Source organism: Homo sapiens, chromosome 2 (genome assembly GCF_000001405.40).
Source record: "Homo sapiens chromosome 2, GRCh38.p14 Primary Assembly".
NCBI classification, from domain to species: Eukaryota; Metazoa; Chordata; class Mammalia; order Primates; family Hominidae; genus Homo; species Homo sapiens.
The window spans coordinates 187,798,293-187,818,618 of NC_000002.12; the positions used below are offsets into that span (position 1 = coordinate 187,798,293).

Consider the following 20,326-nt stretch of genomic DNA (forward strand, 5'->3'; position numbering starts at 1 on the left):
TTTTTTATTTTTTAATGTGTTTTTTTATTACTACCCAGTTTCATTAGCTTTAAGCCTGAAGAATTCTTTTTAATATTTTCTTGTGAGTCTGCCAGCAATAAATTCCTCAAATTTTGTTTTTCTGAGAATGTCTTTATCTTCATTTATTAAAGATAATATTGATGAATATGAGATACTTAGTTGACAGTTTTTTTCATTTTAGCACTTTAAATATATTATATCTTTGCCTTTTGGCTTCTGTTGCTTCTCATGAGAATTCAGTTTTTAAACTTTTTGGGATTCCCTTGTATATCACAAGTCATTTTTCTCTCTGACTGCCTTCAAGACTTTGTCTTTGGCATCAACATTTTGACTATGTCTAAGTGTGGATTTCTTTGTGCTTAAAATATTTAGAGTTCATCAAAATTCTTAAATTATCTGATCAATGTTTTTCATCAAATGTAGAAAGTTTTCAGTCATTCTTGGAATATTTTTCTGCCCTTTTCTTTCTCTTCTTCATGGTTTTTCCATTATACCTTTGTTGGGGTACTTATTGGTGTCTTACTTTTCTCTGTGGCTCACTTCATTTATTCTTATTCTTTTTTCTCTATCTTCTTCCGATTACATAACCTGTATTGCTCTATCATCAAGTTTGCTGATTCTTTCCTTTGTCAACTCAAATCTACTGTTGAGCCAATTTAGTGAATATTTCATTTTGATTATTGCATTTTCAACTATAAAATTTTCATGCGGTTCTCCAAAAAACAATTTCTCTCTCTTTCTATTCATGGAACATTATTGCCATTTTTCTTTAATTTTTTTTAGACACGGTTTCTTAGTTCTTTGAATATATTTATAGTGGCTGATTTAAAGTCTGTGATAACTGCAGTATCTAGACCATTTCCAAATAAGTTTCTATTATCTGCTTTTTCTGTATATGGTTATGATTATCTCTGTTTCTGTGCATCTCAAAATTTTACGTTGCAAATGCAGCCTTTCAGATAATATATGGTAGCACCGCATGTTGCTGATCCCATTCACCCCAGGTTATGTTGTAGCTTTTTCATTGGCCATGTATTTATTTGCTTAATAATATTTAGTTGCCATTAAACATTTAAATAATATTTTATTTGTTTAATGGCTAGACTTTCTGCAGAGTCATTTCTCAGTACGACCATGTGACTTTTGATGTACTCGCTCAGAATTTTTCTTATTTTAATATTTCAGCCTGGTTATGTAGGTATTGTCCCTGGATTAGCATAGGTCATTTATTATTCAGGAGTTGTGCTTAATCCCTCTTCACCTGTTAGATTTTTAATCTTTATCATTGAACGTATTTGTGGTGTGGAGGCTGCTGTTAAGAGTCAAAGGAATCTGTTTTTGCCACGTCTTCACGCAAGTATGAGTAGCTTAGATTTTACTTCTCCATTCACTCCTGGAGGGCAACATCTTGGCCATACATACAATCTTCCAGGTTGCCATGGATACATGTAATGTCATTTTAAAGCTTAGTTTTCTAGGAGTTGCCCCTATGTCAAAATAGCTTTTTGTTTAGCTAGAAAATGGTCAGAGGTTGTGCTTAAGCTCTTGCGCCACTGAGACTTCTGCCCTTTGCTGATGCCCGTTGTTGTGGTTAAGGAATTCTTTCAAATATTCTTTACATTCTGCCCTGATTACTCCTGACAAGGTACAGTTTAGAGCATATAGACAGCCCTTCCAACCCTGTTGGCTGTCATCACAGGATAGACCTTCTTGGCTCACTCATTCTCTGCTTCTCTATGATAAAATTCTGATGCTCAGCAGTTTTGCTTATTAATACTTGTATCATGGAGTTATAGATATGTCTTCTTAATTGCCCTTCCCCAAAAACTCCATTGCTTTTAGCAGAATCCTTAGGCATGAAATCCTCCATAATTTATTACAAATAAAATTAGTTTTCTCATGTAGAGCTGTGGAGCTCTTCGCCCTTAGGTATGACCTCTCCAGCTTACCTCTCCCCATAGGTAGAACCTCTGCACTACTACACTAGAACTGGGCACAGGGACAGTAGCCTACATTTCCTGGAGTGACAGCTCTGCTTCGAGAGTGTAGGTTGGAAGGGGCTCTGGTCTTCTTGCCTTGCCTCTCCTGGTATGTAACCTATGCCCTATGAGTGAGCTTGTAGCTATTGTATAAGAGAACAGAATACAGTATTCTTGGTCTGTTGCATCTAGGGTAAAGCTTCACCCTTGTGATTAAAGGCTAGGTGAAGCAAGGGTCCTCTCAACCGCACCTGCCTGAAATACAACTTACATGGACTTAACATGGCTGAGGGTGGAATGAGAAATTCTTACAGCCTGTTCGCTCCACCTGCAAGTTGAAACCAAGGCCCCACCTGGAATCTGCAGGAGAGAGAGGACCGCATCTTCTTGGCTTCACCTTCCTATATTAGAGCTCCTGGAGTACTTTTTTTTCATAAGATGGAGCCTATGAGGGACGGGTGAGAGGTGGAGGTGGGGGTGAAGGTAGTTTGTGGTTCAAATGCCACAGATCCTTACTATCCTAGACAAATTTAGAAGATTTTCTTGAATAAATGTTACTCCTTTGTTCTCCATATGCCCACAAAAATTTTTCAGCTACCTCAGAGTAGCTTCTCCAGAAATACAGAGTTAACTCAAGGCAACGGCAACATGAGACACCTCAATTTGAGGGAAGCTTGTCCAAAATATTCCCCACCTCAGCTCTGAGCAAGTTGAATCTTTTCCCTGCAGCCTACTTGATTCTCAAAATGTCCCTGATTTGGCCAGTGGTTGCTTGCTTGAGCTGGCTCCTGTATCTTTTTGATGTGTCTCTCCCATTGTTTGAATATCTCTATTTTCAGGCACAAAAAAAACAATGTTTTATGTTCATGTGAATCAGGCATTTCTCCAAGGAGTTCTAATTCCTTTCTAAAGCAGTTTTAAGAGTATTAAATATAATCTCTAAATGTTGGGAGCGCTAATGGGATTTTCTTTCCATTCTTTCTTATTAAAATATTTTGGTAAAGAAATTTCCTATTGCCCACTCCAAATTTATCTGAGCCAAAAGGGGCTCAGATAAATTTATCTGAGTCTGACTACATATTATTTTCCCATTTAGCCTAGCCTTGTCATCATGCATTTTAACCAAGTCTTCACTAAAATAACTCATTAGCACCTTTTCTGTGATGTCAGTTTTCAAACCTGTAACAATATAATCTACTTCTTTCAAAAAGTTATCAAACTTAAAGAAAACTGAATCTGGAGTTTAAAAAATATAAGTTATATTTACTTCAGGGAAAAAATATCAAACTGTGTCTTGCAACTGCAGAAATTCAACCCATAACCCTATTTCATTTTCTATATTTTTCAGCTTTCTGAAAGTTGATCCATAAGTATAGTTACTTAAGTCATAACATCAGAAATAGACTTGGAATGAAAAAGAAATATGTCAATATGGTGTCTACATATTTTTCTTAAATATGAAAAAATAAAAGTCAAATTATTAAAATGAAGTGGTAGGTAACATATCACTTTTTTTAGTTTGTATAATGCAGGACTTTAAAAGCTATTTATTAAAAGAAATGAAATTACATTTTTATTGTTCTTCAAGCCTCTTCAAGGCCATTCTTTCAAACTAACTTTAGATACTCATTTATTCTACACTTGATTCATTACTGAATTTTATTCCAGTTCTTTGCCCTTGTGTTTGAGGTGGTCATCTCAGATGGTTAGCTTTTTTTCCTCATGAAACATTTTTCTTTATGTTGTAATGACTTCATATTTTCTATTATAAATTCTTTGGAAGTTAGCCCTAGTAAATAAAATTAAATCTAATTTTCTAAAATGTCTTTATAATTTGTACTCAGTTACACTTGATGGTAAGCAGTATTTATTGAACATACAATTCTAATGAAAATTGTCATAGTTATCTGTTCTCTGAAATTCTCTCTGGTAAAATTCTAATCTATCAAGTTTAAAGAAATTGATTTCTCTCATTTACTACCACATTGCTGAAGATTTAGTCATTGATTTTTTTCTCACAAATATAAAACCTAAAAAGAACATTATTTATTTACTTATTTATTTCTATTTATTTATTTATTTAATTTATTTATTTATTTTTGAGATGGAGTCTCACTCTGTCACCCAGGCTGGAGTGCAACGGTACGCGGTCTTGGCCCACTGCAACCTCCACCTCCCGGGTTCAAGCGATTCTCCTGCCTCAGCCTTCCGAGTAGCTGGGACTACAGGCCCGTACCACCACACCCAGATAAGTTTGTATTTTTAGCAGAGATGGGGTTTCACTATGTTGGCCAGGCTGGTCTCGAACTCCTGATCTGATGATCTGCCCGCCTCGACCTCCCAAAGTAGTGGGATTATAGGCGTGAGCTACCGTGCCTGGCCAAAAGAACATTTTTTAAAATCACCTTTTTGGATGCAGCAGAGGATAAACATATGACTATTTTAAAACAAATACTTAATAATTAAGTAAATCTAGATGATTCTTAGTATTTTAGCTAAAATTTTTTTACCGCTTTGTATTACTTGATTTGTTCATAATTTAAAAGGTTGAAATTACAAGAACGTGGCTTTAGAATGTCCAAGACATGAACTCAGTATTTACATACTATGCAGGTGATTCTGGGAAATCCTTTAGCATGATGGATCCTTTTTCCACTAAAAAATAGGATAGGCTGGGCGCGGTGGCTCACACCTGTAATCCCAGCACTTTGGGATGCAGAGGAGGGCGGATCACGAGGTCAAGAGATTGAGACCATCCTGGCCAACATGGTGAAACCCCTTCTCTACTAAAAATACAAAATTAGCCTGGAATGGAGGCACGCTACTGTAGTCCCAGCTACTCGGGAGGCTGAGGCAGGAGAATGGCTTGAACCCGGGAGGTGGAGGTTGCGGTGAGCCGAGATCGCGCCACTGTACTCCAGCCTGGCGATAGAGCGAGACTTCCGTCTCAAAAAAAAAAAAAAAAAAAAAGGATAATGACATCTACTTTCTAGAGTTGTATTAATTATATCTTTATGATAACATAATGTGTGTGAAGTGCACTGCCAATATATGATTATATATGTAGGTTATTTATTATTTTTTTGAGACAAGGTCTCGCTCTGTTGCCCAGGCTGGAGTTCAGTGGCGCGATCTCGGGTCACTGCAACCTCTGACTCCTGGATTCAAGGGATTCTGCCACCTCAGCATCCTCAGTAGTTGGGACTACAGGCGAGGGCCACCACGCCCAGCAAATTTTTGTAGTTTTTGGTAGAGACATGGTTTCACCATGTTGGCCAGGCTGGTCTCTTAACTCCTGATCTCATGTCATTCGCCCACCTCGGCCTCCCAAAATGCTGGGATTACAGGAGTGAGCCCCCCTGCCCGGCCATTTAGATCATTGTTAATGAATGCCCATAATAAGCTGTTTCCTTATACAAGCATTTGTCTTCCTTCTAATATTTACTTATGTAACAAAATTTACCTGTAATTTTAATTAAAATGGTTCCACATCTTGTTTCAGCTCTGAGTTTCAAACATAAGGTAACACTAGCTTAAAATAAGTCATATTAAAAAATTCATAACCTTAACTGTATTTTTAAAGCTTAGCATTTTCAATTGCTTTCCACTTTGTATATCTTTTTTAAGATTCTCTGGGTTATATGTGCTTTCTAAAACAGCGCACACATAGCTGTCAAAACTAAACTATGCAAAGGAAAGGTCAGACTTCGACAGATAATTCCTGTTGCCGTGGAAACAAAGTCGGTTTTGGAAAAAGCTGCAAGTTCCTCTAAATAACCACAGATTCAAAAACTTCATGGTCTTCCTTTGACAGGTGTAGTGATGTAAGTATTACCTAAAAAAGGGCCAATTCATGGGTCAGTCCTAAGAATTTTGAATATTGTCACTAATTTATCTGTCTTTAAGAGGCACCTATACATCCTATTCAGGGTCACATTCTTCTAGATAAAGAGCCTCAAATAAAATGAATCAGATAGTTTCATTGAAACAAATTACTTGCTTATTACACATTCTTTTTCATCAATTATCATAAACTTCATTTCTTCTGCTTCATGGAAGAGTGAGCAAGATACTGAATGGCTTTAGACTTACACCTTTCGGATATTTCTTTGTTTTGTTGGGAGAATTTATGTTAGATATACTAGTCTTCTATGCATTTGAGACAAGGGTATAGGAAAATAGGATTTGCACTGATGCTATGTAGAGCCAAGAGGGGCTACTTGAAAGAGATCAATAATGAATTAGAAAATATTTGGGGTTATACTCTTTTTTAGAGATCCATGCACTTGATAAAAAAAAAGTTATTATTAGCAACCAAGGTTGAATTGTATTGGGACCACTTTCCACGTGAACTGCGTAAGATCTGGAATCAATTATTTATGTCTCAACTTGCCTATTTACATAGCAGTATTTTTTTATTAGACCTACACTGATAATAAGCACCTTGGAAAAAGTTGCAGGTAGAAATTTTAGTTACTTGATTACTACTTTTTCCCTCTCACTTTTTGAATTTTTTTCTTTATTTCTTGTCTTATTTTCTTTCTTTCCTCCTTAAATTTGTCAAACTATTTTAATAATTCCACGAGTAAATACAATTAATATGTGAAGTTCATGAGAATATCATTTAAAAATTCAGAAATTTTCAAGTACATATAATTTTGCTTTAATGGCATCACTACTAATTTTGTTTGATTTTTCTTTTTCCAAACACCCATGAAAATATTTTGAATGAAACTTAAAACAGAAAGAACTTTGAAAATATAAAATTTGTATCAATTATTTCTAAAAGTCTAGGAGGAAATGTGTACTAACAATAGTTGAGTTTGAAGAACGAACAAGAATCACAATTAGTTGTTTTACTGCTGGAAAATAGTTTAGAACAAACTACAATGTAGGTGACAATGTAGGTGACTGATAGTCCCATAAGAGATGTAACCTGTTGTAACAATTACTCCTCTCTGATAACTGCACATTGTCAGCCTTCCAGCAGAACAGATACTAAAGTGGAAATTCACAAAACCAAGGCATGGGTTAAGATTTATAATAGTATAGCAGTATTCTAAATGATAACCACTTGAACTAAGGGAGAAAAGGTGGATAAAAAAATGTATGAGAGATGTTAAGGTAGAATTCTACAACTCAATTCTCTTACTTACATGACCAAACCCCAATTTATCCTTTTAGATGAACCCCAAAATGAACACTTAGTGAATTTGAAAAAAATGACTACTCTTTTTCATGCTTCCAGACACTATTCAAATTGCCAATATCCATATCTTATCAGAAGGTAGAGTTCTCAGAATGTAGAATACAGATTTTCATCCTACCATATTGAACTCTATAGCCCTAATGTTTGCTATTGTACCTGTCAAAAAGTCATCATTCAATACATATTTGCCAAATTCAACTGTATTTGTTACTTTCTCAATTGTTTTTGCTTTTCTTTTTTTATCAGCTTCCTCAGGTTGAATACTTTCTCCTTTTAAATCCAGTATTTGGGGTATGCAAGCAAAATCTATAAGATGAAAGGAATTGAGGTTAGTCACAGTCTGACTTTACAATGGTCTTTCAAATAGATAGGGTTCAGTATTAGAGAAGTGCATACCACTTCTTTATGCTTATAAGAGTCACAATAGGGTTTAGCTGTAAATAATAGCTTCAGACATTGAGGATGTGTCTTTGAAAAAGACTGTTGAGCCATATTTTGAGGCGTTTTCTTTAAAAATAAGTTAATTCTCATCTATGGGCACTATAGATAATCTTCATTCATTTTTGTATACTGTATTAAAAGTGTGCAATAACTAAGATATTAGGTTCAGCAGTAAAGTTTGTAAAGTAGTCTATAATAATGAATCTGTCTTGGTATCTATAATAAGTATTAGAGACATATTCAGCCTTAATGAAACATAAAATTCAGATTTACTAGTCAATTTTAGATTCCACAGAAATTATTTATTTTGATATTATAAGCAAAACATCTGTGTTTCTTTTGCTATTTTAAACATAAAATACGAAGTTAACCAAATTTGATCTTTATAAAATAATTATGTCAATAGTATTCCAACTTGTTCTAGAAATTCCAAGTTAGTAAGATATACAGACACATTCCATCATTTTCCTGTATGTATAAATTGGGCTTCCTCTCTGTTATTTCATTTACAGAGAAAGCGTATAATCAATTTAGGACCATCTATCAAACATTTTATCATTGCACCGTAGTTCAAGGTAATCATACACAGGAGCAACAATTTCTGTGATTCTCTGCCAGGATATCACACACACAATATAAATGGAGAGACGCAAACAGGAGACTTCTTCAGTAACTCCTTAGCAGGTATAGAGAACCTCATACCAGTATCCTAAAGTGAAATTGTTAATTACTAGGGGAAAGGATGACAGAAAGAAAGAGAAAAGATAAACTGGGAAATATTCACACAGAAAGAAAACAGTATTTGGAACATTTAAAAAATTACCCAATTTTCTATTTTTTTTTTTTTAGGAAGAAATACGTTAGTACTAAAAATCTAACAATTAAATATGTATGTATGTGTATGTGTGTGTGTGTATATATATATATGCACAAAGCCAAAATATCTCCTCTACCCCTGTCTATTATGTATGCAGAGCCCAATGTCCCCTCTCCTCAACATTTAATCAGTTTGTTTTGTATTTATTAATTCATTAGGTAGGGAGAAACAAATATAATCCTCCAGAGAGAGAAAGATTGCAAAAATTAGGTTGGTACTAAACTAATTGTGTTTTTTGACATGAAAAATAAGGGCCATTAAAAGCTATCTCTCTCTCTCTCTCTCTCTCTCTATATATATATATATATATATAAAATAGGATTTACACTGATACCATGTAGAGGATACATACATATATATGTATGTATATAGAGAGAGTTATATTTGATAAAATAACCTCTTTTATAGATAAAGTAACAAACTATACACATGATTCCACACCTTACTTTTTTTATTAAAGATGTCCTTTGGGACACGTTTTACATATCAGCTTCAATGTGTAAGGACCATGGAAGTCAGCACCCCAGTCCATCTACAGAAAAATACACCTAGACTCAGACCTTACTATTACAACTGGAAAGGGATAATAGATATAAATATAAAAATGAAATACTGTAAAACTTCTACAAGAAAACACAGAAGAAGACCTATGTGACCTTTATTTTGGTAATGAGTGTTTAGATAGAACACCAGGTCATGATCCTTGCAAGAAAAACATTGATAATTTGGACTTTACTAAAATTAAAAACTTCTGTTCTCTGAAAGACATTGTGGAGAGAACAAAAAGACAAGCCATAGACTTGAAGAAAATATATTTAAGCACATATCTCATCAAGGACTTATACCCCCATTATATAAAAATCTCTTAAAATTAACAATAAGAAAAAAAGACACAAATGCACAAATGATCTGAACAGACACCTCAGCAAACAAGAGCTACGAATGGCAGATAAGTATATGAAAAGATACCACCACTAACATTAAAGAATTGCACATTAAAACAAGGAGATACTGCTATACACCATTAGAATGATGAATTTATAAAACCTGATAATACCAATTGCTGGGAGGATGCAAAGCAATAGGAGCTCTCCTTCACTACAAGTGCAAACAGAAATGGGTACAACTACTTTAAGTCAGTTTAACATTTTCTTACAAAGCTAAACATAGTTTTACCACGCAATTTAACACTCACTTAGTATTTACCCAATATATTTAAAAATGTATGTCCATATGACACCTGAAAACAATTATAACAGCTTTATTGATCATCACCAACTTTGGAATCAACCAAATATTCTTCAATGAAAGAAAAGCTAAACTTTGGTACATCCGAACATTGGCATATTATTTATTAATGAAAATAAGCTATGAAGGCACAAGAAAACAGGGAGATAATCTAAATGCATATTGTTATGTGAAAGAAGCCATTCTGAACAGGCTACATACTGCAGGATTCCAATAATATAACATAATGAGATTGTCAAAATCAGAGAGATGATAAAAAGATGAGTGGTTGTCAGGGCATCAGAGGACTATAAGAGGATTGAATATTGAAGTACAGGAGATTGTTTAGGAAAGAGGAAATATTCTGTATGATATTATAATGGTGGACTCATGACACTAGGCATATGTCAAAACATATAGAACTATACAACAGGAAGAATTAATTTAATATATGTAAATTTAAAGAAATTATTTCATATGTCTGGTATCCCAGGATGGAATTCAGAATGTGGTAAAATAATTTAACTCTGTAAGAAATTTATGAAAGTACCTCCCTGAAGGGAATGAGGAAAAGGCACAGGACTAAGTCACTTTGAATTAAGTAGGCAGGAAAACTAAAGTTAAAAGAAAGTACATAAACTACTGTACTCTGTGGGCTAAGGACTCTGATACTGCTCTACATGTAAACTGGGATTGAACAATTAAGCAAATGGATAAAAGATGGCATGAGCCAAGTCTCTATTGAAGGAAGAAGTTACAGATAAGCAAGGGAGGAGGCTAAAATAATCAATGTGGTAATAGATTATAGTTGAAGATGCCATATCAATTCACAATTATCTTAATACAGATACAGGTGGTTTCATAAAAATATTTATAGGTATCTGTATGGACACACGTTAGCACACACACCTATATTCTCCTGATCTGTCAACTGAGAGGGCCGAGAAGCCATGGCACAGCAGTAGAAATGAGCACATTTAGTACTCAAATCATGGTTTCTAATGCTATTTTCTGATCAAAGAAACCAAGGGAATATAGGTGAATCTTGAAAGATCTTTATTGCCAGATAGTAATAGTGTTTAAAAACAAGGAGAGAAAAGAAATAACCCACAACGAATGGTGGAGGTAATATCAAAGAGATGTAGGATCCAACAGAAAGATCTCTCAACAATACGGAAGGCTAAGACAATTTGAGCAGGGTATAAAAAAGTTAGTCCTGGGCCAGGTGCAGACTCATGCCTGTAATCCTAGCACTTTGGGAGGCCAAGGCAGGCAGATCACGAAGTCAAGAGATTGAGACCATGCTGGCCAACATGGTGAAACCCTGTCTCTACTAAAAGTACAAAAATTGGCTGGGTGCAGTGGTGCATGCCTGTAGTCCCAGCCACTCGGGAGGCTGAAGCAGGGGAATCACTTGAACCTGGGAGGCAGAGGTTGCAGTGAGCAGAGATCGCACTATGCACTCCAGCCTGGCAACAGGGCGAGACTCCGTCTCAAAAAAAAAAAAAAAAAAAAAAAAAAAAAAGTCCTGAATTACAATCTGTAGCATCAAGTAAGTATTGAATAAATAAATAAAATGGGAAGAATACAAAAATCTGTGTGCAGAAGAAATCCAAATAATGTATATAAATTCTTATTTCTCAATGACATGGAACATAACTCCCCACTCTTTAATTTTGGCAGCTGATTATGAATTCTTTCCAAAGAGTACAGTGTGGAAAGGGAGAAAAGAGTAACTTTACAGTAAGATTAAGCTGGCAACCACAACCTTAGTCATGTGACCAAGGTCAATATCAATATTATTAAGTCAGGTTGGTAGTATGTGCCTTTGATATGATAAGATGAAAATAGCACTTTTGCTCTGTGGTCTTTCAACTCACAATGCACAACCTCAGTCTAATTATGAAAAAAACCATCATTAAAATCATATTTTGGGGACAATTTACAAAATATCTGACCAGTACACCTCAAAACCATGTAAGACATCAAAAGTAAGGAAATTCTAAAAAACCTCTCACAGCCAAGAGGAGCCTAAGGAGGCATGGACACTAAATGTAATATCATGTTCTGGATTGGATCCTGGAACATTAGGTAAATAAAGGGACATTAGGCAAAAACTAAGAAAGTCTGAATGAAATATGGAATTCATTAGCTAACAATGTATTGAAATTGGTGCATTCATTGTAACAAACATACCTTGCTAACATTAGACATTAATAATAAAGAAAACTGTGTGGGGTAAGTGAGAAATCTCTGTACTACCTTGGCAAGAAGGGACAGCTGGTGTTGGGAATAAGAGCCTGAGTTGGGTCAGGAAGGCTTCTCTATTGGTGTGGCGTGGCCTGGTGTTGGGTGCTACACACAGTAAGGTGATAGAAAAGGGAGGGATGATTATTTTTAAAAAGTAAATAATTAAGGTTATGGGAGGTAGTTTCTCCCTGTCAAAAAGGAAGTTACACATATGGAAAGGAATAAAACTCAAATGAACCTTGAAGAGCTTCCCTGTCCTTCAATCTATCTATGCAGCTCTCTGTATATGTGCCTGCATGTGTAAACGTACATGTATTCCCTAGCTCTGTCTACAGTGAGGACCTGTCTACAGTGCACACACCTGGCACCTAGATATTGGATCCTTGGGAAAGTGGTTGATTCTAGGTCTGGGGCAGGGAGATTACAAGAAAAGGCTAGAATGCACCGTTGTGTCAGAAATAAAGGAGGCTCTCAAAGAAAGTTGGAAACATGAGAAAAAGACACAGAAGTCAGCTTGAACAGGGTCCCACTAGGAAATTAGGACAATTTGAGCATCAAAATATGTAATAATAGTAATGAATTATAACCGATTGGATAAAATAGGAATCCACGAGACCATACTAATATAAACATTTTCATGAACATATCAAAAGTTGCATAAGAAACAAAAGTTGCAAAAGTGCATAAGTACATAGTTTGAAAGTACCTATCCACAAAATATTTATTAATTTAAAAGGAAAAAAAGAGAAAACTGTTAGACACCAACTTGTTCAAATGATCAAATTAAATATAATCAGAAATGAAATAAATTGGCTGCTCTGCCTATGAAGTAGCCATTCTTTATTCCTTTACTTTCATAATAAAATTGCTTTCACTTTTAAAAAAACTAATGAAACAAATAAAAATTGTTCTTTATCTGATAGATGCAATGAGAACATAACGTCTCTTCTGTGTTATTTCTGCTAAGGTATATAACCTGAATCTAATCATAAGGAAACATCAGGTAAGCCTTCCAAACTAAAGAAGGCTGAATACCTGACAACTAAAGCAACCTGAACGCTAATATGTAAGTCTTAACTGGATTATTTTGCTATAAAAGACATTTGCAAACAATTGGCAAAAATTTAATAGGCTCTGAGGATTAGAAGTCAGTAATTGATAAATGCTATATTTCTGATTGGGATGGGTGTTTTATGGTCACATTGAAAGATGTCCTTCTTATAGAAACACACAGTAGAGAATTTGGGAGTGATGATCCATCAGAGTGACCACTTATTCTCAAAAAAATTATTTGTACTGTACACTCAAAGACATGGTTCAATCTCACAAACACGACATTGTATTAAGAAGCAAAAAAGAGCCCACAAAGCCAAAGCAAGACTGAGCAAACGGAACAAATCTGGAGGCATCATATTACCTGATTTCAAACTATACTATAAGTCCATAGTCACCAAAACAGCATGGCACTGGGATAAAAATAGGCACAGAACAGAATAGAGAACTCAGAAATAAACCCAAATACTTATAGCAAACTGATCATCGACAAAACAAACAAAAACATAAGTTGGGGAAAGGCCACTCTATTCGACAAATGGTGCTGGATAATTGGCAAGCCACATGTAAGAGAATGAAACTGGATCCTCATCTCTCACCTTACACAAAAATCAACTCAAGATGGATCAAGGGCTTAAATCTAAGACCTGAAACTATAAAAATTCTAGACGATAACATCGGGAAAAGCCTTCTAGACATTCCTTTAGGTAAGGATTTCATGACCAAGAACCCAAAAGCAAATGCAATAAAAACAAAGATAAATAGTTGGGACTTAATTAAACTGAAGAGCTTTTGCATGGCAAAAGGAGCAATCAGCAGAGTAAACAGACAACCCACAGAATGAGAGAAAATCTTCACAATCTATACATCTGACAAAGGACTAATATCCAGAATATACAATGAACTCAAACAAATTAGCAAGAAAAAAACCAACAATCCCATCCAAAAGTGGGCTAAGGACATGAATAGACAATTCTCGAAAGAAGATATACAAATGACCAACAAACATATGAAGAAATGTTCAACATCACTAATTACTAGGGAAATGCAAATCAAAACCACAATGTGATACCATCTTACTCCTGTAAGGATGGCCATCATCAAAAAGTCAAAAAAAAAAAAAAAAAAAACAGATGTTGGCATGTATGCAGAGAACAGGGAACACTTCCACACTGCTGGTGGAAATGTAAACTAATACAACCACTATGGAAAACGGTGTGGAGATTCCTTAAATAACTAAAAGTAGAACTCCCATTTGATCCAGCAACCCCACTACTGGGTATTTACCCAAAGGAAAAGAAGTCCTTAGACAAAAAAGAATCTTGCACATGCATGTTTAGAGAAGCACAATTTTCAATTGCAAAAATGTGGAACTAACCCAAATGTCCATCAATCAACGAGTGGATAAAGAAACTATGGTTTATGTATGTGTGACAGAATACTACTCAGCCATAAAAAGGAATGATTTAATGACATTTGCAGCAACCTGCATGAGGCTGCAGACTATTATTCTAAATGAAGTAACTAGAGAATGGAAAACCAAACATTGTATGAATTCACTTATAAGTGGGAGCTAAGCTATGAGGATGCAAAGGCATAAGAATGACACAATTGACTTTGGGGACCTAGAGGGAAAGGGTGGGAAAGGGATGAGGGATAAAAGACTACAAATTGTGTGCAGTGTATACTGCTCGGGTGACGGGTGCACCAAAATCTCACAGATCACCACTAAAGAACTTACTCATGTAGTCAAACACCACCTGTTCCCCAGTAAGGATATGGGAGGAATTATGGAAATAAATTTTTTAATGAATACACAATAAATAAGAAGCAGCAAGAATATGAATAAGAAGCAAATAAAAACAATACATTTAGTAGAATTTCATTTTCTAAACTTTAAAAACAGGTAAAATCAAGCTACATTTTCTAGAAAACATACATGATGAAAAAATTTAAAAGAAACAAAGAGGGTGCCATAGAAGTCAAAATAAGTGTTACACTTAGAAGAAATGGAAGGGATCACAAAAAGTTTTTTGACTTGGATCATTGTTACCTGGATGTATACTTTAAGTTATATAGTGATTTGTACTTATTATATTTATGTATATTTTAAATGAAAAATATTATAAGAAATCATGATACAATTAGTTTATACTCTTGAAGTATAATCTCAGAGTGGGAAATGCCTTACTCACTACCATATTTTATCTAATCTATGACGCTATCATTTTTCGGTATCACCAGTATTTTATACCAGAAGAAAAGAAAAAATATCTACCAGTTATAAGACACATCCTAACATCAAGGATACTAACTTGTGGAAAAATGTAGGTCTTTCTCTTAATCACAGCTATATAATACTGTCTCAATAGAGTGTAGTTGTTTTATCTCAGCTTCTTATTCAAAATGAGTTGAATGCTTTGGCAAAATTAACTCAAATACTGTGAACTAAAGATCCTTACTCCAACAAATATATTCCAATTTACATTTTTATTTGCCATCCCAATTCATTTAACAAAGTAAAATGCTCAGATCATTTTAAAATAGAAAGTAAATACAACACTCCTCCTAAGACAGAACTTGAGGAAAAGTCTTTCTGATTACACTTAGATAGTTACACATTCTAATAAAACGAGTCCTTCTTATATATAAAATGTCAAAGTATATATAAATAAACAATTTATATATAATTATGTATATAAAATATATAGTATATATGGCAATAATATATTATTATACTTATATATTATTAACATATAATGTATATAATTATATATATTAATTTATATATAAAATGTCAAATTACTTCGTGTCACTTTTCTACATTTTAAATTGATTTCCCCGTTTCCTTCTATCTTTCCCTCATTGAAGTTCTTCTCTCAAATATGCAAATACTGCATCCCCTTGGGACAGTTTAAAATCAAAATTAATTATGCTAATTATCTCATTTGGGTTGACCTGATTAAATTTAATTAGTTGGTCTTGTTAATTCTAAACATTATCCTCTGGGAAATTTTGCCTTTTGGGTTAAAGTTGTAGAAAATTTAAGTACCCACTCACCCTAACATACTTAGAAAGCATAGCACATGTAGGTGTTCCAATGTTGTGTGTATAGTCATCTAGAAATAGATGATACCTCTAGCCATTGATTTTGTTAAAACGTAGATTTCTGGTGGCAATTTACTGAGGTAAATGTCAAGGTTTTAATTAGTAATTATACTCTTCCATTTAAATCAAGTCACAAAAATATAAAATCATGATATTCTATGTGACTAATACTCTAATAAACTGTTTTATATCCTTATTAATTTTTAATTATTTCTGGAATGTTGTTTTGTGTACTATTGACTCATTCTTAGCTCTTGTGCTACTTCCATTCCCTAATACCTTTCCTCTTTTTACTCTCACTGTTCCATTTCATGGAGCGTCATTGCCTCAGCCTAACAAAATTAATTTGTATTTCTGAACGTTCTTCTCTGGTTTCACTTTTCTTCTCTCATTAATGCTCTCCCAGGTGGACTTCACTCACTATATAAATGGCTTTAATTTCTATGTATGGCCTGGAAAGTACTTAAATCTTCCTTTTTCAGTCTTGAACTTCACCTTGCAATTCATACATATATCTAAAAATCTGCTCAATATATCAACATTGGTGATCCACAGTCATCAAAAACAAAACAAAACAACAACAACAAAAAAACATTCAAACACTGTACTTATCATCTGTACCTATTCTCATTTTTCAGGTCCTAATTATTTCTCACCTGCACTATTTCAGTAAACTTCTTGTGTCTCTTCTTAATCTCCTATCCTCCACCACCTCCAAGTTCATTACGTCCTCTAACACCTTCGAGTAATGATCTGGTTTGCTTAATTTGAAAGAGTAAACTTGTTTGTGTCACTTTCTGCTCCTTTGCTTAAGATAAAAAAAATCGATCTTTTTCACCTACAAATAAAGTCTAAGTGACTCAGCAAGAATCTGTAAGTCTAGGTCCCATTTAGTGACCTTCTCCTATCAGGGCTTCATTTTGAAATGTATACTTTAAATGATAGCAAGCCTTTTGTATTTCCTGGCACAGAAATTTAAGTTTTGAACATCAATGAGTGTGTTGTTTATTGCTGTCTATGCCTGATGTGCTATTCTTAACTTTTTAATGGTTTTTATATGCAGTTAATATGTTGTTATTTGCTAACAATAAGACAAAAAGTGATTTAAACAATACAGGTATGTAGAAAGTTAAAACAAAATTATCCTAAGCCTGTCTCCTATCCTACTGTTCCAGTCAGTAATCACTGGCTTAAAAAAAGTGATGCATATCTTCCAGACTTTATGTAACTACCTATCTGTCTTAAAAATTTGGATTTTCGCTCACTCCATGTCAGATATAGATATATCCTGATGTGTGTGTATATATATGCATACATGTATATGCATACACACACATGTATATATGCATATGCATACACACACATGTATATATGCATACGCATACACACATGTATATATGCATATGCATACACATACATGTATATATGTATATGCATACACATACATGTATATATATATGTACATTTTTTCTTTTTATAGTTATAGGGTAAGGCATACGGTATTATTTGATCATTCTGCTATTGGCAGATATTTGGTGGCTTTTCTTTTGGTTTATTATTATTACTATCTTCTTTTGGCTTATTATTATTATTAGTGCAATGAATGGTCTTGTATTTCCACTGGCCAAACTGGATTTTTTATTCCAGTTTTTAAAAAAATCCAGTCTGATAAATATGCCTCTCATAAATATCTACTGATTACATGATATATATAGAGACAGCATTTTCTATTAAAAACTCTTTAAATATTATTTTGCAAATGACTTTGTCTCCTATTAGAAATAAACTATGACAGTAATTACTTAAGAGATTTGATAAACAATTGCATGCATTATTTTGCTACATGTATATTTTTAATTATTTTTAAAAGTTTTTGGCCAGACATGGTGGCTCATGCCTGTAATTCCAGCACTTTGGGAGGCTGAGGCAGGTGAATTGCTTGAGCTCAGGAGTTTGTGACCAGCCCAGGCAACATGGTAAGACCTAGTCTCTCATAAAAAAAAAAAAAAAAAAAAAGGGTTCAAGTTTAGTCTAATTTTTTTTAATAATTTGAATTAAACAGGAAGTGTGATCATTGTTTAATGCCATTTTGGCCAGATTATTTATCAGAATACATAATAAATAAATGTTATGAGAACTCTATTATAAATGAAATATATTTGAGAACCATTAGATGTTGAACGCAACAAGAAGAAAAAGAAAAATACATTTTTGTGTGAATGGAAAGAAATACTCTTCCTTCCTGGTTCTATTAGTTCTATTGGTCTATGTCAAAATGTTACAGGATTCTTTCAGTGCTACTTTGCCAGCCAGAAATCTCTGCAGCCAGTAGCACCTCTGCCTGGGCTTTGCTCAGCTCTGGGCTTGCCACTGGGCTCACTCCATTCGCTTGGCCTGGCAGCTGCACTCAGCTTGTGCTACCAGCCTGGATTTGACACCCACTATGGCTCTGTGTTTAGTCTGCAGCTGGGCCAGGCATGCTGTGACCTGCTTCAGCCTCGGGTGCAGGTGTCTGGATGAAGGGAACATGGTGGTGCCCAAAAACTCAGAGATGCCAGCAATTGCAGAGACCCAAGGGGTGCTATGGCTCTCACCCAGTGAGTCCTGAGGTCTGACCCCCGAAGGACTGTTACAGTTCTTGTTTTTTCCCACCACCCACAGTGTGGCACATGGGGGTGCGTGTTACAGCTTACATTCAATCTTGCTGCCCACAGTGTGACAAATGAAGGGGTGGCATGTGACACCCAGCAGCTCTTTCTCCCCATTGCTTGGTGAGTGGGAGGGAGGGTTACAGTGTTACAGCCCCTTTCACACTTGTCATTTGGTGGGCTCTGGGTTTTTGTCCCACAGTCAAGAAGAATTAGGTTATGTAGACACTGGTGAGTGAACAAGGTGAAGAAGAATTTTATAGAGTGATAGAAAAGCTTTTGACAATGAGAGGGGACCCAATGTGGGCAAGCCACTGTGTGAGAGGGGGCCGAAAAGTGGGTAACCTAAAGTGTGTCTGAGTCCAGGGCTTTTATGGACTCAGAATGGGGGAGTTTGTGTTGATTGGTCCGTGGGCAGGCCTGGATAAAGCACCATTTGACTGGCTAAAAGGCACTGAGGAAGTTCTCACTCCAATTGTGGACTTTACCCAGAACTGGCAGCTAGGTTTTCAGGCTTTAAATTGTCTTTGGTTTTAAGGTCAGGTTTCACCGGGGACCCGCCCCTGTCTGCCTAGGAATTTGTCTGTCTCCTGCCGCTGTCAAATAACCACAATTTTTAGAATATGTTTGTTATGTTCCATGTTTACAACCCAGGCTTAACAAACTATATTTAAGCTAGATCCTTTATTTTCACACCCATTAGTTTTGTCTTTTTTTACCTCTCAAGCAAATACAGCTGTGAATTCAACTCATTACATGAAAGGTTTATTCACTTTGATTGACGCTCTTTTTAAAAAATCAATAATGATTGTATATTCTTACTAATGATAATAACACATTTAAAACAGAATTATACATTTTACCAGTTTTGTTTCCAAAATAAAATATGAGAGTAAACATCTGAAAAAAAATATCCAAAGAAGGCTGGGTGCATTGGCTCACAGCTGTAATCCCAGCACTTTGGGAGGCCAAGGTGGGTGGATCACTTGAGGCCAGGAGTTTGAGACCAGCCTGACCAACATGGTGAAACCTTCTCTCTACTAAAAATACAAAACTTGACCGGGCGTAGTAGCATGTGCCTGTAATCCCAGCTACTCAGGAGGCTGAGGCAGGGAGAATTGTTTGAACCCAGGAGGCAGAGGTTGCCATGAGCCAAGATTGCACCACTGCACTCCAGCCTGGGCAACAGAGCCAGACTCTGTCTCAAAAAAAAAAAAAAAAAATACCCAAAGAACAAACAAGTTTAAGATGAGTAATCACAAATTTTCAAATAAATCAAACTCTCCTAAGTTTACTAGAGATTTTGGTCAAAGGATACAAAATTTCAGTTAGCTGTGAGGAATAATTTCAGTTAGCTGTGAGGAATAATTTCTAAGAGATCTATTATACGACATGGTGACTATGGATAACAATGTATTGTATTCTTGAAACATGCTAAGAGAGTGGACATAAAGTGTTCTCACCATAAAAATACTCCTGTGAGGTAATGTATATGTTAATTATCTAAATTTAA

General features: G+C 35.0%; 1 long non-coding RNA gene across 1 annotated transcript; it reads left to right on the forward strand.

Moving 5' to 3' along the window:
• The first annotated feature begins 5,309 nt into the window (after positions 1–5,309).
• On the forward strand, positions 5,310–8,418 carry LOC105373788 (uncharacterized). The gene is made up of 3 exons (XR_923683.2): positions 5,310–5,824; positions 7,456–7,537; positions 8,163–8,418. It is a non-coding gene; the product is annotated as an uncharacterized LOC105373788 (long non-coding RNA).
• Positions 8,419–20,326: the final 11,908 nt, after the last annotated feature.